At 36.5% G+C, this 27,064-nt stretch overlaps 1 protein-coding gene, 1 long non-coding RNA gene and 1 pseudogene across 6 annotated transcripts in view; 2 read left to right on the top strand and 1 right to left on the bottom strand.

The window, feature by feature from the left end:
* Positions 1–27,064, top strand: part of CDH12 (cadherin 12) — a 1,102,672-nt gene that overhangs the window by 259,861 nt on the left and 815,747 nt on the right. The gene's annotated exons all lie outside the window — the stretch shown is intronic.
* On the bottom strand, positions 4,186–19,778 carry LOC105374681 (uncharacterized). The gene is made up of 3 exons (XR_925843.3): positions 18,501–19,778; positions 10,443–10,536; positions 4,186–4,264 (listed from the first exon to the last, which is right to left on the bottom strand). It is a non-coding gene; the product is annotated as an uncharacterized LOC105374681 (long non-coding RNA).
* On the top strand, positions 12,665–13,443 carry GCNT1P2 (glucosaminyl (N-acetyl) transferase 1, core 2 pseudogene 2; annotated as a pseudogene).

The raw sequence follows: 27,064 nt of genomic DNA, 5'->3' as shown, positions 1-27,064 counted from the left end.
TTTGAAAGGTAACAAAAAGAAGAATACATTATTACTCTAAAGATTAAGTAAAACAGGGAAAACAGGAGAAAGAAGGTAACGTTTCTGGGTAGCTAATCAGTGATAGTTTTGTTTTGGAACCTTAGGGTTTTGGTCCCTTATTAGAATTAATTTTAGCAAATATTAGAAATATAGCTCTGTAACTCAGGAGAAAAATTAGGCCAAATATACAAATTTAGGATTTGTTAACATGGTTGAGAGAGAGAGAGAGACAGAATGCTTGGAGGCACATCAAATGTACTCATGTCTCAGAAATCAAGAGTAGACGGTGTCCCATAGAAAGGGATTGAGATCATTATAAAATCAAGTGCAAACTTTAAACCAATGAGGGTTAGTACAAGATCGCTGAATCTTGCATGTTAAATGCCATCAACATTTTCTTTTCCTTTTCCTTTTTTTTTTTTTTTTCTTTTTTGAGATGGAGTCTCTCTCTGTCACTCAGGCTACAGTGCAGTCGTGAGATCTCGGCTCATTGCAACCTCCGCCTCCTGGGTTCCAGCGATTCTCCTACCTCTGCCTCCCTAGTAGCTGGGACTACAGGCGCATGCCACCACACCTGGCTAATTTTTGTATTTTTAGTAGAGACAGGGTTTCACCATGTTGGACAGGCTGGTCGTGAACACCTGATCTCAGGTGATCCGCTCCCAAAGTGCTGGGATTACACGCGTGAGCTACCATGCCTGGCCACCATCAACATTTTCAAGACTGGTAAAATGGTGACTGCAATCATCAAATTGCAGTGGATTGGGTGGAGGTGGTGGGGGGTGGAGGGGGAGAGCTGTTTAAAAATGAAGCAATAAAGGTGAATTGTCTTTTTCATTAAACCTGGCGATACTAAAGGAAGGCATGCTAGAGAAAGGTTTAAAAATACTAAAAACACTGAAAAATATTTTATGAATTTATGGCAATAGGAGGAGAAAGAGAAAACGAAGGAAGAGGAGACATAATTTAGAAAAACTAAAAGCACAAGAGATAAGTAAACTAATTTTGTATGATTCTAGAAGAAGGAGAAGATGGCAACCTTGGGTATAGATGGGGGTAGTTTCACCTGACCCTGGCAGGAAGAGAAAGTGCAGATGAAATTTAGTTTTGAGAGAAGAGAGGAAAGAAGAAAACATTACTGTTTGCACTTTGGTGAAGGAGAAGGCTGGGCAACATGCCGAAAGTACAGCCTGTGGAAAGAGGAGCTTGAGAATTATGTTCACAACAGTGATTATTCAGAAGAGAAAAAGGCCCAGATGAGTTGATCAGAGATTTTATTTTTAATTCATAAATGTAACTAAGTTTCCTGGGAAAGCTGTAAATCTACATGCACTGGAGCCTTGCAGCCTGTCTATGAGCTACCTATTGCAGAATCCAAGAAGTGAAATGCTTAGGGGTACCCAAGGTTTATATTGACTGCATGACTATGGTAAAACATTAAAGTAGCAAATAAATGCAAGCTGATAGTAAAAGGCATGACTTAGGGTTCACATGGTGGTCACAAGATTCAAGCCAAATAACTTGTTAAATGATATCTCAAGGAAGCAATAACCTGGGAGAATAGTTCATCAAAGGACAAAGTTTAGCTAGAACATTAATCATAGGGCAGTAAAGAAAATGTAATGCCAACATACAGTTTTAAAAACTGTATATCCTGGGTGATGACAAGGTCCATGATGTATGTGCACATAGATAATAATATACAATATCTATAAAACTATATGTGTTATGGAAAACTCAACTGAAAGAGAACTGAAACTCTTTGGTATGACTTGGGGACAGCTGGGGACAGTGACTCCAATAGGGCAGTGATGTTCTGGAAACTAAGATACTGAATGAGTCAACTTAGTAGTATGAGGCATTTTGGAAGTTGGAAAATAAAAGTTGAAGAAAATGAGATGAAATGATAAAAAAACAGGAACTTGTTTTACAGACTGGCTACTTTCAGGAGAATATGTATTTACAATATTTCAACTACATATTCACAGCTATAAATGGATTTACAGACTAGTAATACAACCTCAACTGTAAAATTACAAACATGCCATTTTAAAAAATATTATCTAGTCTATAATTTCTGTGATATTAATTTTTTCAGGTCATTGTTTCATTGATCAATCCAAGCAAGTTATTTTTATAGCTAGGCTTATTTTAGTGCAAGGTTACTCTTTCTCAGTTGACCAAGCTCAAATATTGTATTTTATATCATGGCAGGAGGCATCCAAAAAAGAATAAAATTCAGCCTTTCAAAAAACTAGTTGATTTTATATTACTTTGGTTTACAATTTAATAAATGACCTACATGCAAAGCATTTGTGAGAGACTGCATTTAGGTAAGGGGGAGTTTGGAGATTATAAACAAACTGCATTAACGGGGAGGCTGGAGTCACTTAGACAGAAAAGGAAAGCAATAAATCAAGTTTAAATGGGCAACATTAATGGGAGTTACAGGCGCACATCTCAAAATGAATATTCCCCAAAGAATTTATGGAACACCTCTCATAATTGGAAAAAGACAGATTTTACAACTATCTTCAGGACAAGCCGCCAATAGCATAAAATACATAGCTTTAGTGTCAAGAGAAATGTATGAGACAAAAGGGAGACTTAGTTGAAACAGAGAAAGAAAATAGGAGGAAACATACAGCCTGTGCAATAGAACAGACCTGCAAATAGGCCCTGACTGGGGTGTAATACTCGGAGCAAATGGAGATGCCATACTAAAATTAAAACAGGGTTTAATTGCTATTGAAAACAACCTGCAAATATTGTTTTTAGAATAAGACAACAGTAATTTAATTTGCATTCTTGTCACATAAATAAGTATATTAGATCTTTTGAATTCTTACTAGTTGGAATGAATTTTAGAAATTAAGCTTTACCTTTGTTTATGTTGGATTTCTTAAAAATTACTAAAGAGTATTTAATGAGGAAAGAAAAATCTCTGTAATGCAGTGATTAGCAATTTCAACTGTATAATCAGTTTTATATTAAATATTTGCTTATTTTGTGAAAGAAGATCACAATAATTAAAAGATCCAGACTTTACATGTTTTTTTAATCATAGGATATATCAAGTGGTAATTCCATGTGTCATTGTATAATTCATACCAATATAGATATACTAGGTGTATAAGGTTTGTACTTTTAAAAATGTTCTCTCTTTTTCTTTTTGCTTTCATTTTTGAGGCTCATGATCTTTAGATTCTGTCACTCAAAAGAGAGAAAGAGTGCATATTTAACGAGATGGCCTATTCTGCTACCTGAAGACTAATGTAACTGCATTCCCTACCACTGTTAAGTCAAATTATCATTTAGGTACATTATCCAAAAGGGGTCTCATATTTTAAAACATAATATTTTTATTTTATAATAGTCTCAGATTTACAGAAAATTGTCGAGATAGTACAAAGAGCTCCCATATATACCAACCTCAGGCTCCCATATATCGACGTCTTACATAGTATGCTGCCTTTGTCTTAAATAATGAAGCGTATGGTAAATTTGAGGATTCTGTTAGAATCTCAAGTGAAGTTGGATAATAGTGGGTTAGAACCCAAAGGAGAGGCTTACATTAGATATAAATTTGTTAGTCATTACAAAAAAATGATAGGTAATATCAGGAGATGACATAAAATACTCTAGGATGTAAGTTATGTACAGAAGAGAAATGTGAGTATATATGGAAAGGAAAAAAGAACTGAGAACCACATCTTCAGGTGCTCTAACACTGAAATGCCAGGAAGAGAAAGAGGAAAACTAAAAATAAGTGACAGTGAAGGAGGAGAATCACGTGAGTGGGATGTTCCAGAAGCCGAGGAAAAGTGTTCTAAGGAGGAAGTGGACAAATATGTTAAATGCATTAAAAGAAGGCTAAGGAGTGACCTTCAGATTTGTCAGGATTTGTCAGACTAGCAATCTTTGATTACCTCAACGTAACAAGTTTCATGAAATGACATGGACATAATTCTCAACAAAAAAGGAAAGTGAAGTGAAAGCAAGAATAGAGAACAACGTGACAGGTTTAGCTTGAGGAGCCATGGGCCTCAAAATCTTGATGGATTACAACATCAAACATTGATTTTTATGCTCCCTTGTTTGAAGATTGGCTCTGTTTGGCTGATCTCCACTGGATTGGTCTTGACCTGATGACACTCCAGGCTTACAGTTGGGTCCAGTTTTGTTCCTCGTGTCTTCATTCTAGGGCACAGGCTGAAGGGCCAGCAGTTACATGTCTTCTGTGCTTCTCATGCACATTGTAGGAATTCAAGAGAGCAGAAAAAATAACAGAAGTGATCATCAAGCCTCTGCTCATGTCACATCCAATGACATTCCATCAGGCAATCAATGATGCAGCCAAGCCCATATTGGGAACAGCCAAGCCTGTTCCCAATATGAACAGGGCTGGGAAATATACACCACAAAATCTAGAGAAAGGTATGAAAGACTTGTATGAAAAATATAATCAAATCTAACACAGGGCTGTTATATCAGGTGAACTATTTTTTAAAGATAGTATAATGGCGTGGTTATAGCCTATAAGAGTGATCTTACAAAGAAAAGAAAAAATTACAATGCAAGAGAAAAAGGTGATAACTGCAGGGGCAGGGCTTATTCAGGGCAGTAAAAAGGAATGTGGTCCAGAATATAAAGGACTGGGTTTGGGTGGGAGCAGGAGCATTTAACACACTGTGACAGGAGAGAAGACAGAGAGTGTGAGTAAGGTACCAGCAGATTAGTAGATTTGACAGTGAGCTGATAGCATTATTCTTATCTAATTAAATCCCTTACATTTCTTTTTATCTATTTTATTGACTGGATATTTGTTTCTCCTGCTCATAAATAATGTTTTTTTCCCAAAAATATGTATTTGTGGCAATTCTCTTAACAGTTTATTGTACGGATATTACTCATGTTGCAACTTCAACCATTAACCTATGCAAATTAATCCCAAACCAGTACCTCAGGCCCAGATCTGCCTCATTTATGTTCTACCCTTGCAGGTCGTATTGCTCGGTAACTTCAGTGGCAAATTTTGCTAACTCTACAAATGGCGTATGAAAATTAATTAAGAAATATATCTTTGTCTCTTCTATTCATGTTTAACATAAAATGACTTCCAATTTACTAGTCTATGTGGCCTAAAATTTCAAGTTTACATTATTCCTCCTGTGCTTTAACATGATATTTAGTATGTGATTTAGATTTGTTAATTTTTAACATTGTGTTTTAAGTATTACAATTTCCTGTCTATTCCATTTCTACACATTAGTTTGGCAACTAATTGTAATTATGTATATTTATAATTTAACCTAATAGAATAAATGGTCCTTGAGTAAAATATTATGTATATATACACACATATATACATATACATGTATGTATTTATTGCATATGATAAAATTGTATACACACATATATATGTGTGTATATATATAATATGGATATATTTGGTAGGTATATAGACACACATATATATGTATGGAGATTATATATATAATATGGATATATTTGGTGGATAATATATATATAAATCTATATATATTATATATATCACACACAATATATATGTGGATTTATATATGTGTGCTATATATGTATATATATATATATATCTCCACCAAAAAAGTTCTCTATAAAATGCTTTAGTATCTATCTATTGAATGTTGATTCATAGAAAAGTAATGTGCCATTCTAGGTCCATATAATTCGGGGTCTCAACAGAAAATGGTTAGTAAAGAGGAACAGATTATTGGTAAGTTTAATAAAGGGACAGTTGTTAGTTGTTATAAAGGTATGTGTAGAGGTAAGGTCAACCAACACATACTAGTGCAGTGTTAGTGACTTGCAGTAAGGGAGCTGGTATCACCACTTGGTCTAATGAGGCAAATAATTTAGCTGCCAGCATATCCTAGACACTATAGCTGTAGCATAGGCTGTTGAACAGGAGGGTTGGCCTTCATCCGAGTGACACAGCTAGCCCTTGATGAAATTAAATGAAAGACCCAGGAACATGAATAGTTTCTTCTCACTCTCATCTTGTCTTCTGTATTTGTCCATTTTGTGCTGCTATAAAAGAACTCCAGAGACTAGGTAATTATAAAGAACGGAGGTTTATTCTTATGGTGTTCTGGGAAGGCCAAGGTCGAGGTGACTGGATCTAGTGAGGACCTTCTTTCTGCACCTTTCCATGGTGGAAAGTGAAAGGGGCAAGTGAATACCCCATCATACTCCTATGTAACTAACCCACTCCTGCAATAACAGCATTAATCCATTCATGAGAACAGAGCCCTCACGATCTAATTACCTCTTAAAAGTCCACTTCTAGGCTGTGCGCAATGGCTCACGACTGTAATCCCAGCACTTTGGGAGGCCAAGACGGGCAGATCGCCTGAGGTCAGGAGTTCGAGACCAGCCTGGTCAACATGGTGAAACCCCATCTCTATTAAAAATACAAAAATTAGCCAGGCGTGGTATAATCTCAGCTACTTGGAAGGCTGAGATACGAGAATCACTTGAACCCAGGAGGCGGAGGTTGCAGTGACCCGAGACCACACCATTGCACTCCAGCCTGAGCAAGAAGAGCAAAACTCTGTCTTCTCCAAAAAAAAAAAAAAAAAAAAAATCCTCCTCTAAACTCTGTTGCATTGGGGATTATGTTTCCACCTTCAAACCATTGCATTCTGTTAGCTCCTTCCAGAGCCTCCAAATGGACAAACACAGTGGAATTCAGTGAATCTATAACCCCATTGATACAGTAAAAAATATATTTCAAATCAGGATTAAAAATTGTGAAAACTGGTGTGAAGGAGAAAATGAGAAAAATTCAGCAGAGCAAGCTTCAAAATGTTTATTCATCTTTATGTAATTATAGGATATCATTTGATTTTCAATAATTTTTTCTAAATCCCCATATCTCTTTTGCAGAAATATTTTACTTCAAGTTTTATTTTTATTTATATATATATATATTTTATTATACTTTAAGTTCTAGGGTACATGTGCACAATGTGCAGGTTAGTTACATATGTATACATGTGCCATGTTGGTGTGCTGCACCCATTAACTCATCATTTACATTAGGTATGTCTCCTAATGCTATCCCTCCTCACTCCCCCCACCCCACAACAGGCCCCAGTGTGTGATGTTCCCCTTCCCGTGTCCAAGTGTTCTCATTGTTCAATTCCCACCTGTGAGTGAGAGCATGCGGTGTTTGGTTTTTTGTCCTTGCGAGTTTGCTGAGAATGATGGTTTCCAGCTTCATCCATGTCCCTACAAAGGACATGAACTCATCATTTTTTATGGCTGCATAGTATTCCATGGTATATATGTGCCACATTTTCTTAATCCAGTCTATCATTGTTGGACATTTGGGTTGGTTCCAAGTCTTTGCTATTCTGAATAGTGCCACAATAAACATACGTGTGCATGTGTCTTTATAGCAGCATGATATATATTCCTTTGGGTATATACCCAGTAATGGGATTGCTGAGTCACATGGTATTTCTAGTTCTAGATCCCTGAGGAATCGCCACACTGTCTTCCACAATGGTTGAACTAGTTAACAGTCCCACCAACAGTGTAAAATTGTTCCTATTGCCAAGTCAATCTTAAGCCAAAAGATCAAGTTTTAAAATAAATAATTCTAAGGGCAATTTTGAAAGAACGACCTAGAAACCATAAAGCTCCAAAAAAGTAAAAAAGCAGCTCTGAAAATAACAAAATTAAACTTTAAAAAAAAAATGTAGTAAAATGTCACTGGACGGGTTTAAGGGCAGGTTTTTCCTGATTGACAAGACAGTTGGTAAACTGAAAGATCCTTCAGAAGAAAGTATCAAAAATGAACACAGAGAGACAAAAACATTGAATGTTGACAAAGTTAAGAGACATAGAGATTAGAATGAGAATATGTAACATGTGATTTGAGTAGGGAGGGGATTTTCCCGAAGAAGATAAGAGGAGGGAAGAATAAGGCACAGGCAGTGTTTACAATATCATTACTAAAAATTGTCCTGAAGTGTTTAAAGATACAGATCCATAGATTCGTGAAGCTCCACAAATCTCAAACAGTATAGGTAAAAAAAAGAGCTCTATGCCTAAAGAAATCATTGTGAAACTGCAGGAAATCAAAGACAAAAAGAAAATCTTTTAAATAGCAAGAAAAGAGAGTTTCTTCAAGCAAGTGGCGGTTACGCTGATCTTTTACACCCCAGCAGCAACAATGGAAGACATAGTGGAATTAAATAGGCAGGGTGCTGGAAGAAAATATTCTCTAATGTAGAATTCCGTACATGTCAAACTCTTTCAAAAACAACGTTACTTTCAGAAAAAACAATAACAGAAGTATATTCTACCAGAAGATTCTAACTTTTGAAAATAATTTAGGCAAGTAAAATTATACTGAATAGGAGAGAGGTCTAAGATGTTTAAAGGAAGTGAGTGATAAATGTAACTGAACTGAAAGCTAGCTTATTAAACAGTAATAATTTATCCTTACAAGGTTTTTTTTAGTAGTAAATTTTTTTAAGATAAATATTATGGCAGTATCTTGTAAGGCAAAAGAGTGAAAGAAATGGTGTTAAAGAGTTCAAGGTAATTTGTGATGCCTGTCAGAAGGGTAAAAATGACGATGAACACAGTAAGCTATGATAAGTTCAGTATATGTATTTTATTTTTAGGCTACCTATTTCAATAGATAGTAAGAGCCTATAACTTATAGAGAAAGAAAGGATGGAATGACAAAAAGTAATCAGAACATAAAAAGAAGGAAGAAATGAGCTAAGAGAAATATCACAGCCAGCAGAAAACCAAAGTGAGATGACCTGCCATTACTATTTCTAGAAATATATGCTAAAGAATTCAATGCACATATGCACAGAAATATCAATTGCAGCATTGTTTGTAACACACAAAAAAATTCAAAACAACTCAAATGCTAATCCATAGTAATATACATAGTTAAATTGTGTTATATTTTTTAAATGGCAAACAATAAAAATGAATAAATTATAGTTTCACTAAAATAAAAATCTTAAAAACACAGAATTAAAAAAAATAAATTCCTTCCAGGAGCAGTGGCTCACACCTATAATCCCAGCACTTCGGGAAGCCGAGGCAGATGGATCACCTGAGGTCAGGAGTTTGAGGCCAGCCTGATCAACATGGTGAAACCCCGTCTCTGCTAAAAGTACAAAAGTTAGCTGGGTGTGATAATGCATGCCTGTAGTCCCAGCTACTTGGGAGGCTGAGGCAGGAGAATCCCTTGAACACAGGAGGTGGAGGTTGCAGTGAGCAGAGATCGTGCCACTGCACTCCAGCCTGGCGACAGAGCAAGACTCCGTCTCAAAAATAATAAATAAATAAATAAATAAATAAATAAATTCCGCAAACAATATAGATGATTCCCCTTAAAAAAATTCAAAAGCAAAAAAAAGCAACTAGATAATAGTTTGATGGATACATTAGTGCAGAACCAGGGGGAAAAAGTAAATACTAAGATTCACTTTATTCAGAAAGAGGCAATTCTGATTGGGAAGAGATACATTTGTTTCTTTTATAGGAGCTAATCATAGTTTATTTCATGAATAATAAATTAGTTGCATAGGGTGTTTGATTTATTATACTTGTTAAATTTCACAATGAAGACACTATATTATCTTTATTGATTTCATTTTAAGAAAAAAGCCTGTGAAAAGTTTTAGGAAACTATGGATGAGTGTTCTTTCTTAAAAATCTCTTTTCCAGATTCAATATCCCCCAGATCTGTGACTTTTATTCTCCTTTCAAAATCCCATCTTCATCCTCATGTTCCTTTTTGTTCTGACTTTTGTTTTACATTATCTCTTAAAAATCATGGCATTCCAAGGCAAATAACCTCTACATGTGTTACAAACAGAACATATCTAAATTGATTAAGACGGTTTCCTTCCATTAAAGGATTATGTTATTTCATTATCTTATTTTAGCAAATTCACCATAGTCGTTAACTTACCTAGGCATGTGGTCAATAAAAAACTATCAATTTCTAAATTGGTTCTCTTTTCTGTATGTAAATAAGTGAATTTTAAAATATAAATAAAATATTTTAAATTTGTCTTCTTCATGTCTGCTAATCATGCCTATTAACAGCATTTTAAAACTTAATTTGACTCATTTTGTGTTTGTTATTTTCCTAGTTTGAAATTATCTTCATATCTGATATACATAGTTTCTATGTCTTCACTGATGTGACTGGTCAACACATTGCTGACAACTGGGTATAGAACAGTCCTTAAAGATAGCTATTGAGAAATCCTTCTAAGTTGAACACTTTGGTAAGAACCCCTTTTCCGTTTACCAAACTACCAAGATTCTCCTAGAGAGGATGCTGTTGGTACTCTGTGTAGATGAGTGCCCTGAAATTTGTTACTATTTCTGCGTACCTCTCTGCTTGCTTCAAAGTGCGCTTTTCTCTCTACTGGCCCAGTTGTTACTCTTCTATGGTAGATGACCCTTTAGCAGCAGGGGTTTCATTGCCTGAATAGAGAGCCAGAAACATGTGAGGGTTTATATCAATCCCCCTATAGTGCTGGCCAAAGTCCATAACCACATTCAAGAGTACAAACCCCCAGCTCCTTTGCCTCTAGTTTGACAAATTCAGATGACGTTTTGACCATCCCATCTTTCATGAAAACATGATACAATTGCAGTAAACTTTTTTGACTCAGGATTCAGTAGTATGCTCAGTAATTCTTTGCCTAATGTGTTACATAGTAATTATACTTACAAAGAAATGACATTGATAATTAAGGAAATGCAAATTAAAAACATGACATGGTTTGACAATAATGTTTCTCACTAATATATACATTTTAGAAATTGATTATGACAAATAATACTAAAGATGTTGGGCAGTGGAGGCTCTCAGGTACTCCTGTGGGAACAATTTAGGATTATTTGGTAAAGTTGAATTAATAGATCCCATGCTATCCAGTAATGAAATTACTCATACACTCACCAGGAAGCATATACAAGAAAGTTTACAGCATTATTTTAAGTGGGAGGAAAAAAGTAGAAATGACCCAAATGACCATTAACATACAAAGGGATGAATTAATTTTGACATATTCATAAATGAATTATTGCTGCATATGTCACTGTGGATGCATTGCCACATGCAGGTGATGAAAAGAAAGGCCAAAAAAGCATAGATAAAATAGTATGTCATCTATATTAAGGTGAATTCATATGGTTATAAATTTAGGAAAACATACATACAGGATAAAATAATATAAAACATCAACACTGAGCTAATGATGGTGAGGGCATAAGTATTCTTTGGGAGCAACAGGAGGATTATACAGGATGCTCCCAAAGTCTGACATATGAGGGTATTTGATTTGGGGCCAGAGGGTAGACAAACATATTGTTTTTTTTAATCTTTAATCTGCACATACATACTACCTCTACCCTTACTCTCATAAAATGTGCCGTGAGTTACAATGTTCTCAGAAAGATTATGATGAAAAGATAGGCGAGTTCAGGAGATAAAAGTTCTTGTTAGAACTCTTCCCTTACCCCTATTTTTTCATAGAAATGTTTTCAGGCTGTAATTTTTTTTTAGCCAGGATTTGGTAAGAAAAGTTAAAAATGTGGTCAGGCAAAGCAAAGAAACTTAAGAGCTATGAGGCAAAAGCATCAGGTAACATATAAAGGAAAACCTATCAGATTAAGAGCCCAGCTGCCTTCACGGGCTGTCATTGAGTGTCTGCAGTTTTTCCAGGCTCATGTGTAAGCTGTCAGTGGATCTTTTATTCTGGTGTCTGGAGGATGGTGGCCCTCTTCTCACAGTTCCACTAGGCAGTGTCCCAGTAGGTACTCTGTGTGGGGCCCTGACCCCACATTTTCCTTCCACATTGCCCTAGCAAGCCTCAAGCCTTGGCAACTTCCATGTGGTTTTGAGCCTGCCAGTGCAGAAAAGTCAAGAATTGAGCTTTGGGAACCTCTGCCTAGATTTCAGAGGATGTATGGAAACCTCTGCAGCAAACTTCTGCCTGGGCATTCAGACATTTCCAAATATCCTCTGAAATCTAGGCAGAGGTTCCCAAAGCTGCCAAGGCTTGAGACTTGCACTGTCTGAAGCCACAGCCCAAGCTCTATATTGGCCCCTTTCAGCCATGGCTGGAGCAGTTGGGACTCAGGGCATTTAGTCTGTAGGCTGCACACAGCACAGGGACCCTGGGCCTGGCCCACAAAACCACTTATTCCTCCTAGGCCTTCAGGCCTGTGATGGGAGGGGCTGCAGTGAAGACCTCTGACATGCCCTGGAAACATTTTCCCCATTGTCTTGGGGATTCATATTTGACTCCTTGTGACATATGCAAATTTCTGCAGCTGGTTTAAATTTCTCCCCAGAAAATGGGATTTTTTTTCTATTGCATTGTATCACTGCAAATTTTCTAAAGTTTTATAAAGTCTGGTCCTTTGATAAAACCAAATGCCTTTAACAGCACCCAAGTCAACTCTTGATTGCTTTGCTGCTTAGAAATTTCTTCCACCAGATATCCTAAATCATCTCTCTCAAGTTCAAAGTTCCACAAATCTCTAGGCCATGGGCAAAATGCCGCCAGTCTCTTTGCTAAAACATAGCAATGATAACATAATGTTGTTAATAAGATCAAGTTGTTAATGGGAGAAAACAACCTCGAAATGGAGAGGATGCTATCCAATAAAGGAGAAAGGTGGAAAAAGCAGTATGAGGTTTTTGGAAAGCTGACAAACACAGGGAATGTTAAAATGCCTCCTCCACTTGAAACACTTCTTTGTTCAGGCTGTGCCTATTTTGTGGTCAGTAGGGAGTATGTGGGGTATGTACTTCAGGATTAAAAAAATCCAAAAGTTTATGGAGTGAGCACAAGACACATACAGCCCTGATGAGCATCTCTGAGCCACCATCCAGAGTATTCCTGAAGTCCCCGGCTCACTCTCTACAAGCCATAAGTATGACTTGTCTGACACGCATGCAGTCGCCAGGTTTGTCAAGTGGCAGTACTTGGAGGGTGATGTTTCTGAGGATGCTCCCTACCCACCCTACGATGGGGACCACGTGCACTTGGTGTGCATTTTCAGAGCTGGTGACTTGAAATGGATGCTGTGCAAGCACCACTTGTTTGCCAATAAGCTTGACATCGACGACCTCTTTGCCATCCAATGTTTGAATGATTATCTGAGACATGAAGCTTGGAGATGTTAGAAGATTGACCATTATTGGCAATTTTATGAATAATAAGAAGGATACCCAAAATGTACCCTCATCTGGATCCTCTTCCTTGTCAGTAAGCATCAGGAAAATGGTATGAGGTCCTATTTGGGGCAGGGACTCTAAGTCTACTTGTCAGAGAAGCTACATGGTTTCTGCAGAGCATCGTTGGCTAAAAAGGTGATATCATTAAATGTTCACCTAGAGTTAATGTGAGCGGGGAAAAAAGTAGCTTTGAGGCCAGAGCATGTAGCAAGGCATTCTGGAGAGAAGAGACCAGGGTAGCTGGGGAAGAGGTCAATGCATAAGGTCAGCCTCTTCGAAGAGCTCAGGGGCTTAGCAAAATAAGATTTGACCTGTGCTAAAACTATTTTGAGGATTTTTAATGTGACAGTTTTCCCAGTATGAATAGACTGACAGCAACAAATGATCATAAAGATACAATTAATCTGATATATTTGTTGAAATAAAAATGTGATTTTACTCTAAATGATTTTTGTAAATAATTTATTTTCTGCTCTAACACTGTATTGTGTAGTGTGTCTCTGTGTAAGAGGGAGTTTAAAATAAGGTTGATTTGAAAACAATGAAATAAAAAAGAAAAGAAAAGAAAATTAGGGTATGTTCAGTTTAAACTTCCAATCATGTCATCCAAGTCTGGAATTTTCATCAGAACAACAATATAAAAAAATAAAGGGATGGATTTAAAACACATACAAATCATAAATAATAATGAAAACATTTTTAAAAATTTTGTTTCCAATTCATCATAATACACATTAGTGAGGGAACTATTCACTGTTACCACTATTATTTAATGATAGAAATAATATTTTAAGACTAAAAGGGCACAAAAGTCATTAAATCGGAATAAAATCAATTTCTTTCCAAGTCAAATCAATTGTTGACCTTATAACATCTGATATTCATGAATATATTCATTTTCATTTTTAAAATTTATCATTAAACTAAGCACAGTGTCTCCTAGGGAAGTAGTCACAGTAGCCTAAGGGAACTAATATTCATAAACTCCGTCTTTTAAATTAGATGGATCTCATATCTATAAGTAGTATACAGAGAGTTGAACTCTTTAGAGATTCCAGTATTTAGAGATTAAGTTATTTAGAGATTAGGTTTGAGGTTTTAATGTAACACCAAACAGTATAGTTTGTAGATGTGATAGAAGTCGTAGGCCTTTGTTATATCTCTAATTGGCCAAACCAGAGAGAAATAGAATGCATGCTGAGATAAATGTAATCACTCACAAAGCAGTTTCTTGCTTAAATCATTTTGTTTAAAAGACACTCACCAGGGGAAAAACGAAACTATAATTTTGCTAATTGAACTCTGAACCTAAAATATAGCAACAGAAGAGAAGAAACAATTCAAGACTGGAATGATCGGATCAAGTTAAATAGCAGTTTAATTTCCCTTCTAGAGAAACGCATATTCAGGCAATATTTTTACCCCTGTTACCCTCCCCCACCAAAAAAAGATGAAGAAGAAGAAAAAGAAGGAAAAGAGGAAGGAGAAAACAAGAAACAGTTAAGGTGCTTTGGCCTGCTTCTGAGCACACATGAATCCAGTAACATTAAAAAGGAGACATTCTGATTTTCTGGGAAAGCAGTGGAAACTAGTACATTTATTATTTCTGCTAAATTTATAGTCAGATTCCCTTTGCTGAGCCTTTGGGCATATTTATAATCTAAAACCGTATTCTACAAAAGAGTGATGCTTGTTTTAGGAGCACTTACACACAAAACAAATTGCTATAACATAAAAGCAGAATACTTGCTCGATTACTAACTTGTCCTAATATGCTAAAAACACCCCCCCCCCACACACACAAACTTGGTTTAAAATATTAATAGTTCATATCATGGTTTAGGAAAAGATATTACAGATTTAGACGCAATTTTATACCCCTTTTGGAACATGAGCAATTTTAAGATAAAGATGCATAAAAAGTCTTGAAGGAAAACATTGATACTTAGAGCTATGGCTATTGAAATCTTTATTCTTTATATTTTAAAATTTTTGCATGATCATTCTTTACTAGAAGTGAGTAGAAAGACACTGGATATAACACATCCATTTAAAGAGAGATATGTAAAGATAATGAATAGTAAGAGTGATGACAATACTTGAAAGACTTTTCAGCTTTTCTAATACCAGGCCAAACAACATATTTTCATCCACTAGTTGGGTTGCAGTAATACATTTAAATGTTTTTAGAATTATGTCTCTGGTGATGCCTGAACATATGAAAGTATTTACAGAGGTTAATTTGGGACTACATTAGTGAGGCAATTTTCTAGCTATAATTTATGTTAGTTGTTCCTTTTAGATAGTGAGGCAATCAGGTTGTCTTTGCAATAAAGAAAATTTTAGGTCTTCTTGCAAATTATACACACAGCTACATTCTTTGATGATTACTGTGTAGATGCTGCTGAACAATAGAAAAGAAAACTTGGGATAATAACAGTAATCCAGTATGTTTCCCGTTATCTGGACATAGTTTTTAACTGTCTAATTTACCTAAATTATCTCATGATGTCCCTGTAAATTGAAGATACAATCTCATTCTCACCATTCCATTAACTGCCTATAATCTTTGAATTTGTTTACACTTTATCTAGTTTCCTCCTGGGCTGCCTCCTCACCTCAGCCTACACATTCTGGAACAGCTTCAGGCTTATTTCTATGATGTAGGAAGTTATTAGAATATGTTAATTTACTTGACTGAGATGACTTTAAATTAAGCCCTTATAATATCCTGCCTTCCAGGCTGTCCACCACTATGTAATATCTGGAACAAGATATTAGTTTGTGCTCAAATAGTTATTCAGAAAAAAAAAGAAAAGGATGTTATGGCTTTTTCTCATAACTGCAGTCATATTCACTTATCCGTTCTATAATTTAAATAAAATCAGTGGTAGCTAACTTAGTGAACGCATCTGGGGCAGGCAACTTCCCACACACTTTGCATGCTCTATGCTTAACCCGTTTTTTTATAGATGAGGGCTGACTGGTTGAGTAGCTTTTACAATGTTATGGGTCTAATCAGGGACTCAGACCTGGGTACTCCCCAAGCCGCCTGTCTCTGGGCCAATGCTTTCAGCCTTTGTAATACGCAGGCTTTTAAATGTTACCACAGGTAGAAAGATGGACAAATGTTCCATGTTTTAATGCCATTTCTCTGTCTTGCAATCTCCTTTTTTTAATATTAATATCATTTTGTAAATATGATTCTAGAGAAATATGGGTAAAGGCTTGGATTTATTCCTTTGAGAAATGTGGAGTGATGATAACAGTTTTTAAGAAGTAAGGTTTCGTAAAGCAAACTCTGCTAGAGTATGGAGAAAAAGATTGAAAAACATCTTTCCCTTGGCACAAATGATATTTACCATGTCTCTACTCCCAATTCTCACTTCCAGTATCTCTCTCTCTCTCTCAGTTATCAATTCTCTCCCCACTGAACTACTTTCTGTTTCCCTAAGACGCAAGGACCATCGCCTCCTTGGAGATCTACATAGGATTTTTTTCTGCCCTCCCCAGTAGCATACCTGCAACTTTCTTGGCTATGTGGCCTTCAGGAATTTGCTTAACGGCAATTTCCTCCGATTCTAGTTCTTTCAGTGTTAAGGCTGGGTTGAAGATACTGCTTAGTGCACAAAACTCTACGGAACATAACTGTACAGTAATTGCCTTTTAACTTGTCTATTTCTCCATATATTTAAGGGCATTGGATACCTCTTATTCATCTCAATTTATGATTAATGTGCTATTCAAAATATCAAATGGTGTTAGGACAGGCATTTGTGGTCCCAACACCAACATGAAGGTTGCCTCTTTACCCCTTTCACCTTCCATGGTCTTTTCCTCTCTGGACAGGGTAGGGTTTGGGAAGTATGTGCAGAGTGGCTCTGTGGATTGTGAGAAAGGTGCCAGGGGTGATGTTCAGAAGCCAGGTAGTGAGAACTTCAAAGCAGGACTGCGCATGGCCATCATGCAACCAGAAAGTCTTCAGATATCAGCACTGAATGAAGCAGGGTTCAAGAACCCCTGTTATAATAGGCGTTAACTTTTAGGTTTGTATATCCTGAGAACACAGAAGATTCCTGGGGAACACAAAGTGAGATGGGGCCCTTGGGGGCCTCTGGGAAGTAGTTGTTTACCAAATGTAAAGAAGTGTTTCAGGCCAGGCTTGGTGGCTCATGCGGTGGTCATGTCCAGCACTTTGGGAGGCTGAGGTGGGAGGATCACTTGAGCCCAGGAATTTCAGACCAGCCTGTAGAAACCCTGCACTGATAAAAATAAATAAACAAGCAAATAAATAAATATAATATAAAAAAAAATAAGGCCAGGCGCAGTGGCTCATGCCTGTAATCCCAGCACTTTGGGAGGCTGAGGCAGGCGGATCGCTTGAGGTCAGGTGTTCAAGACCAGTCTGGCCAAAATGATGAAACCCTGTCTCTACTAAAAATACGAAAATTAGAAAGGAGTGGTGGCACACACCTGTAATCCCAGCTACTTGGGAGGCTGAGGGATGTGAATCCCTTGAACCCAGGAGGCAGACGTTGTAGTGATCCGAGATCGCAACAGTGCACTCCTGCCTAGGAGATAGAGCGAGACTCTGTCTCAAATAAATAAATAAATAAAAGAACTAGCCAGGCATGATGACACATGCCTCTGGTTTCACCCACTTGGGAGGCTGATGTGGAAGGATTGCTTGAGCACAGGAGATGGAGGCTGCAGAGAGCCATGGTCACACCACTGCCCTCCAGCTTGGGTGATAGAGTAAGAACCTGTCTCAAAAAAAAAAAAAATGTTTCAAACCACAACTGCATAGCAATTTTGCTTATATCCTCAGCCCAGAGTACACAAAAGGTGATCAGCTTTATGAAAGGATGGAAAAGTGGTTGAAAATGATGAAGAAATACAATAAGGGTTGGGGAAGGAGGATATATTTATTTTACCAAATTCCAAGAAATATAGGAAAAAAAGTGTCTGTATCAAATGCTTAAGCACACAGTCCACACAAGCACACCACACACTGGGTGAGGGATCTATTTCTCCCTCCTTGCATTCATGTAAAACGTTGTTAGTGTCATGAAATCCTATTCTCTTTCTACCTGCTGTCCTAGATAGAGCTGGCCAATATTTCACTCATTATGAATGAACATAAAATTTTCTTCAGAATTTTACAGATGCAGAAACCAAAATTTAAGTTTAATTTTACCTGAAAGCAAAATATATAAAATCAAGTCTGCATTGAGTGCTTTTCTCTGTGGTTGCAAACACACTTTCACATATTGGGAATGTGAAGAAGCCTTGGGTGTTAGAACACTCATCTCTGATAACATAATAAACATCACAAAGTACACTCATTCTAGGGCTCGTGTTTCTGGCCTATCAAATGCTAACAGGTATGGAAGCACTTCAAGTATAGTCATGGAAACCCACAATATGATTCCGTGACTATACCTGATAGCATTTGAGTTAAGAGGAAGAGAAGGAAAGTTAAGTCAGTCTCCTGAAGGCAAGCGTAGGAACCTAAGATAGAGGCTTTTTAAGGAAAAAGTCTGGGAACACATATAATAGAAATCCATCTTATGGAATTTGAGAAAGATACAGTTTATCAATATTGAGTCATTAATTTATTACATAATTAAGAGAGCCTACTATATGTGGAAGGTACAGATTAATAAGTTTGATAGGTTGCTGATTCCATAAAATCTACCTTTATAAAACATTGTAAGCATGGTGCTAAACAGATAAATGGCACAGTGTAAGGGAGTGTTATGGTACGTGAAGGCATGTTATGGAAAAAAATAAAGGAATAGACAAATGAATGCTGAAATTGAAGACGGTGATGAATTTTAGATAAGAGGTTTAAGAAATACTCTCAGTAGGTCAGGAGTTCGAGACAAGCCTGGTCAACATGGTGAAACCCCGTCTCTACTAGAAATACAAAAATTAGCCAGGTGTGGTGGTGCGTACCTGTAATCCCAGCTACTCGTGAGGCTGACACAGGAGAACCACTTGAACCCAGGAGGCAGAGGTTGCAGTGAGCTGAGATCACGCCACTGCACTCCAGCCTAGGAGACAGAGCGAGACTCCATCTCAAAAAAAAAAAAAAAAAAAAAAAAGAGAGAGAGACAGAGAAAAGTATCCATGAAAAAGACTTAAGGTAAAGATTATAAAGAATGTGCCAAATATTGCACAGGAGACCACAGCAAATAAGTCTTTTGCACTCCAAGAAGAGTCAGTGTTCAACACCATTTAGCGTGACACTTCATTGGAAGGAAGCTAGTTCCTTCCAGAGGTAAACTCTGTTTCAGCAGGTTAGAGGGGGCATACTGTGTGTCTTATAGTCTATATTGATCCTCTACAGTCCAATATATCAATTTCATATTGTGGATTTCTGGGAGAGGAGACATAATCTCCAAATTCAAGAAGCTTATCTAATACTTTGTTAACCAAGTATCTTAAGAAATAAACACGAAAACTGTAAGAAAAAAAATACACAAATACATGTCATACAGCATATGCAATATTCAATAGTACACTTAAAAGATCAATATAATTTTACCACTAAAATGGACCTGAATAATTGAAACTAAAATTTTAATTTTAGACATGGTTGCTTTCTTTTAGAAAGGCAATTAGAGTTAATACATACCCATCTCCCCCCTAACCACATGCTAAATAATTCTGGTTATTATTTTTTGTGTGTGTGCTTTTAAACATTTATTTTACATTTTGTGGATCTGAGCAATATTTTTTATATACATATTGTTAAATAAACTGTAATGCAATTAATTTATTCAATTTGGGGAAGTGTTCTCGAAAACTGAACTCACAACACTCAAGTTTTACCTTAAAACTCTGAGAAAGTCTGAAAGACCTGAAAAGTTAGATTTTAAAAAATGAGATAGGTATGATTTATGTATATAAATTCACTGAGTAAAAAGAGGAAAATGTTGCAAAAATTTGTCAAATGTTCTAAGGACAACTCCAACTTTTGTATAGAGGAGCAACAAAAAACAAGTTTAAGTGACTCATACAGGAATATTTACCTGCTTGTTAGCACAAGTTCCTCAAGTACTGCTGCAAATTTAAAGAATTTTGCACATCATCAAAATGGGACATTTATTGAATCTTGGAGAGGGATGTTTTGCATTTAGGCAAAATAAACATGGCAATTTTGAGCTATTTTCATTACTCAATTTTTTAAAATACAAAGCATTTCAGTTTCCCAAACTATGTGGAATCACTTGAGGGTGGCATAAAATAGATTAATGCTTGCTGACATCTGAAGGATGTAAAACAGTTGTTTCATCTGCTGTGTCTCTGAGAGATGAATGAGGGCAACCTTTAGATCTACTTCTGGATTTGTCTAAAGGTGCTTTTAATAGAACACTCAATAGAATATAGAACTATTTATACTTTTGTTCTTTCAGAATAAGTGAGGTAAAGAATTCATTTAGAAATCAGATAAGAAGAAGAAAATTATGAGTTTTAGCCCTTTCAGTATTCAACCAAAAGATAGGGTTGTTTTTTGTCATATGTTAATATAGAAACAGAATTGATGTTAGCCTGAGACTTCTATAAATCCAATATACCAAGCTTTGCTTTTTAGACAGTTTTAAAATGAGTTCAGAGGGAAGATTTGAAAACCTTCTTACTGTCTGAAAAAAAAAATTAATCCTGGGGGAAAAGAAATTAGAGGAAAATGGAGCCCTACATATGAAAATTACCTTCCACTAACTGCTTTTGTGAAAGAAATAAAATAAGTAATTTCATTGCATTTAAGTAATGAAGAGAGACAGCCTTTGATACAATTAACTAATGCTGGTAAATTTCTGTCAAATGAATATTCAAAGATGAAAAATATTGACCCACCAGTAGTCAATACTAAAAATACTAAAAAATTTTTAGTATTAAATTTTAAGGAAAATTTAAGGCTTTTTATTCCTTCACATTATCGGTACCTTTCAGCAACTTTATTTTGTCCAGTTAGTTGAAATCTTAGGGCAAGGTAAGATCTCATATAACTTTTTTTTGAGTTAGCTCCTCTGAGAAATGAGCCATGTTTACTTGTAAAGACTCAAGTACAAACAAACCTTATTTTAGTGCACTTTGCAGATATTGTGTTGTTTTTACAAACTGAAGGTTTGTGACAACCCTACATTGAGTAAGTCTGTCAGCGCCATTTTTCCAACAGCATATGCTTACTTTATGTCTCTGTGTCACATTTTGATAATTCTTGCAATATTTCAAACTTTTTAAATACTATTATATATGTTATAGTGATATCTGTTCAGTGATTTTTGATGTTACTGTTGTAATAGTTTTGTAGTGCCATGAACCATGCCCACGGTATGGCAAACTTAATCAATTAATGTTATGTGTTCCGATTGCCCCCACCACATGGCTTTTTCCTTGTCTCTCTCCCTCTCCCTGGGTCTTCCTATTCCCTGAGACATAACAACATTGACATTAGGTCAGTTAATAACCCTACAGTAATCTCTAAGTGTTCAAGTCAAAGTAAGAGTTGCATGTCTCTCACTTTAAATGAAAAGTTAGAAATGATTGCCGGGCACGTTGGCTCATGCCTGTAATCCCAGCACTTTGGGAGGCCAAGGCGGGTGGAACACCTGAGGTCAGGAATTCGAGACCAGCCTGACCAACATAGAGAAACCCCCGTATCTACCAAAAATACAAAATTAGTCTGGCGTTGTGGCGCATGCCTGTAATCCCAGCTATTCAGGATGCTGAGGCAGGAGAATCACTTTAACTCAGGAGGCGGAGGTTGCAGTGAGCCAAGATCACACCTTTGCGCTCCAGCCTGAGCAACAAGAGTGAAATTCCGTTTCCAAAAAAAAAAAGAAAAGTTAGAGATGATTAAGCTTAGTGAGGAAGGCATGACAAAAGTTGAGATAGACTGAAAGTTACATCTCTTGCACTAGTTAGCCAAGTTGTAAATGCAAAGGAAAAGTTCTCGGAGGAAATTAAAAGTACTACTGCAGTGAACACACAGAGGTTAATAAAGCCTTATTGTTGATATGGAGAAAGTTTGAGTGGTTTGGATAGATCAAAGCAGCCAAAACATACCCCTGCATAGAACCCTAATCCAGAGAAAGGCTCCACTGCTCCAATTCTTTGAAGGCTGAGAGAAGGAGGAAGCTACAGAAGAAATGTTTGAAACTAACAGTTTGGCTTACAAAGTTTAAGAAAATAAGCCATCTCTATAATATAAAACTGCAAAGTGAAGCAGCGAGTTCCTATGTAGAAGCTGCAGCAAATTTTCCAGGAGATACAGCAAGATAATTGATGAAGGTGGCTACACTAAACACTAGATTTTTAAGGTAGATGAAACAGTCTTATAAAGGAAGAAGATGTCACCTAGGATTTTCATAGCTAGAGAGAAGTCAATTCCTGGCTTCAAAATTTCAAAGGACAGACTGACTTTTATTAGGGGCTAATACAGCTGCTGACTTTAAGTTGAAGCCAATGCTCATTTATCATTTCAAATATCATTTCAAATTCACCCTTAAGAATTATGCTAAATCTACTCTGTGTAAGCTCTATAAATGGAAACTAAGCCTGGATGACAGCCACATCTGTTTACAGCATGGTTTACTGAGTATGTTAAGCCTACTGTTGAGACCTACTATCTATAAATGTTATTTTTTTTTTCAAAATATTACTGCTCATAGACATTGCATCTGGTCACCCAAGAGCTCTGAGGGAGATATACGCAGGGATTAATGTTATTTTTATACCTGTGAACACAGCATCCTTTCTGTAGCACATGGATAAAGGAGTAATTTTGAGTTTCGAATATTATGATTTAAGAAATACATTTCATGGCCGGGCACAGTGGCTCATGCCTGTAATCCCAGCACTTCAGGAGGCCGAGGCAGGAGGATCACTTGAGATCAGGAGTTCAAGACCAGCCTTACCAACACGGTGAAACCTAGTAAAAATACAAAAATTAGCCAGGTGTGGTGGTGGGCGCCTGTAATCCCAGCTGCTCGAGAGGCTGAGGCAGGAGAATCACTTGAACCTGGGAGGTGAAGGTTGCAGTGAGCCGAGATCACTCCACTGCACTCCAGCCTGGGCATCGCAGCGAGACTCGGTCTCAATAAATAAATAAATAAATAAATAAATAAATAAATAAAACGAAATACATTTCATAAGATTATACCTACTGCTATAGATACTAATCCCTATGATGGATCTCAGCATAGTAATTGAAAACCATTTGGAAAGGATTCACCATTGTTGATGTCATTAAGAATATTTGTGATTGATGGGAGGAGGTCAAAATATCAACCTTAACACAAGTTTGGAAGAAGTTGATTCCAACCCTTCTCGATGACTTAGAAGAGTTCAAGACTTTAGTAGAGGAAGTAACTGCAAGTATGGTAGATATAGCAAAAAAACTAGAGTTAGAAGTTTAGAAGTGGAGCCTGAAGATTGGACTAAATTGCTGTAACTCATGGTAAAACTTTAATGGATGAGGAGTTGCTTCTTAATGGATAATCTAATAAAATGGTTTCTGGAAATGAAATCTACTCCTAGTAAGATGCTGTAAACATTGTGAAACGACAACAAAGGATTTAGAATATGTCCTAAGCGTAGTTGATAGAGCAGTATCAGGATTTGAGGTGTGCGAGACCATTCTTGTGTTGCTATAAAGAAATACCTGAGACTGGGTAACTTATAATGAAAAGAGGTTTAATTGGCTCATGGTTCTGCAGGCTGTACAGGAAGCATGGCATCAGCATCTGCTCAGCTTCTGGGGAGGCCTCAAGGAGTTTTTACTCATGGCAGAAATTGAGGCAAGAGCAAGCATGTCACATGGTGAAAGCAGGAGTGAAAGAGAGTGGTGGTGTGGGGTGCCACACACTTAATCAGATCTCAAGAATACTTACTATTGCAAGAACAGCACCAAGCCATGATGGATCCACCCCCTTCACCCAACCACTACCCATAAGGCTCTGCCTTCATCACTGAGAACTAGATTTCAACATGAGATTTGGGGAGGGACATATATCCAAACTCTATCAGAGAGGATTGACTACAATTTTGAAAGAAGTTCTACTGTGGATCAAATGCTATTGAACAGTATCATATGCTACAGAGAAATTTTTAGTGAAAGAAAGAGTCAATGGATGTGACAAACTGTACTGTTGTCTTATTTTAAGAAATTGTCACAGCTGCGACAACCTTTAGCAACCACATCGCTTGTCAGCAGCCATCCACATCAAGACAAGACCCTCCACTAGCAAAAAGATTAACAGATTACCACTCGCTGAAAGCTCAAATGAGCATTAGCATTTTTAGCAGTAAATCATTTTTAATTAAGGTATGTGCATTTTTTTAGTCATCATACTATCGCACACATAAAAGACTAGTGTAAACATAATTTTAATATGAACTAGGAAACCAAAAAATGTATGTGGCTCACTTTGTTATGATATTTGCTTTATTCTTATGGTCTGGAACCAAACCCACAATGTCTCCAAGCTGTGCCTGTATTTATTATTTAGTCACTTTTGTTTACCAAGACCCAGTGTTTTCTTACCATTTATTCATTTTTTAAAATCTATTTTTAAAGTAGTTGTCTTTAAAATTTCATATATATACGTCATTCTGTTGCCTACATCACTTAGGAGTTATTGAATTTGGGTGCAGATGTGTTTGCTATTTAACAGATAAAATTAAATGTTATGTCAGATTGTCGTTATTTCTTACAGGTATTTGAAGTAACTGTAGCTGAAGTCTAAATGCGCAGAGGCATCAAGTGTAGACATATAATTAATATCTCATTCTATCCTCATTCTTTTTCTACATATATATCAACCCCAACATGCTCATTTATTTATTTTAAATAATCATATACTTTTTATAAGCACTGAGCTAGACATGCAAATGACAGATTGGGTCTTAGATAAATACAGTAAGTTCTCATTGCATCTTATGCTGCTCATCTTATGCTATGGCATTATACTCCCATTAGTGTAGAATTTCAGGCATTCTAAGGCCTAAAAGAATTTATGCAAGTTTCTGACTCATAACAATCTAGAATAAAATCCAGTTCTTAGGTTTTCCAGTGCCTTAGTAAAAAGTCAAAGTCTTCTATATGAAACTGTTTAACAATTACATATTAAATTACATAGAAATCAAATATCTTGCTAAATTGTGTGTGTTGTAAACACTGAAGAAGTCACACAGTGATAGTGTATATTGAGGAATGAGGAACTATTGTTCCCATAAGGTTACCATAGGTACACACTGGGATTGACCAGGGCAAAAATAAGTCAAAATATGCTATATGGACAGGTGTGTTAAGAAATGTTTTATCTGTACGTCAGTGTGCTGATCCTACATCTACATCTGTTCAAATATACACAAATATTTACCAGTCACCATTTGCCATTCAATAGCTAATCCAAATCATTGCAAATAGGATGTACTCAATCAATGATGCCAAAGTAAATTTAGTCACATTCTTCCTCTGCTCTTTTAAAGAGGAAAATATAAAGCTTTGTTTTACACTAGTTCAGTTTGCCTGATTATTATAACAAAAGAGACCAAAATGGAGCAGAAAAAAATTATTGTCTTTCCACAAAGCACCATTTTGTCAAATACTTTTCTAGGACTTGAGAAATAATAGATATACTGTTACAAATTGCCCTAAACTACATGTGATTCTTGAAAGACACGGGAAAACTGGAAAGTACTGATTCAATGTAATAAGTTTCTTATACCCTGACATTGAGAGATAAGACCTGATGAGGGAGAGACGGCCATGCCCCTCAGGCTTCCTTAAAGCAGGTAACATTGCTTTGAAAATCTTCTGAAATAATATTTCTAGTTTTAGGATTTTCAAATTGGGTTTCCAGGTTAATTGTTACTTGCATTAAGTGGTACCTCTTTAGCATCTTTTATGGACAATGGTTGAAAGTGGATCTAATACAATGTGGCTAACTCCAAACCTTGGGATAATGGTGTGAACTGAGGCATTTTCAGGAAGTTACTTTGATGCGTAGCTGCTATAAGTAGCTTGAAGATGACTATTCTTCAATATTACCACAAGTATATTAAAACATCCGAGGAGTTATAAGAATAGTTAAGGCATAGGACCATACTTCCTAGACTGAGTAACTTTTTTGCAATTACTTCACTTAGTGCCTTAGCCACCTCTCATTTGTGGTGACATCGTTTATTTGTTTGTCCCAAAACCAAATGGGTAATGTCATAGGAGTATTTTCAGAAGCCTTTCTTACTTACAAAATCTCTATAGAATGTACAGCACATGATTGAATGTTATGCATTTGAATGTCACTTGTCAAGTATATTATGAAAAACAGCGACCATAGCAATGAGACATAGAGATCACAGTATCATCCTGTTTAGTAATGTTATTATTGTTTTCCTAGTTTTGGGTCTAAACTGGTTATTACTTTAACATTATGAGTGACATGTAAGTACCTCATAATGTACTACGTCAGGACCCAATTCCGGACGCTAACCAGCATTTTTGTTTCTCAATAAACCAAGGACAACAAAAGCGAAAACTGAGAAGAAAGATTCTAGGAAGATTCATTCATTGTTTATGCCAATCACAGCCAAGTGCATGCTACAAAATGAATAATTAAAAGACACATAGTAGCTGGGCGCGGTGGCTCATACCTGTAATCCCAGCACTTTGGGAGCTGAGGCGGTGGATCACCTGAGGTCAGGAGTTCAAGACCAGCCTGGCCAACATGGTGAAACTGCGTCTCTACT

The sequence above is a fragment of the Homo sapiens genome, chromosome 5, assembly GCF_000001405.40.
Source record: "Homo sapiens chromosome 5, GRCh38.p14 Primary Assembly".
In the NCBI taxonomy this organism is placed as follows: domain Eukaryota; kingdom Metazoa; phylum Chordata; class Mammalia; order Primates; family Hominidae; genus Homo; species Homo sapiens.
This window is presented reverse-complemented; position numbering and strand designations above follow the sequence as displayed.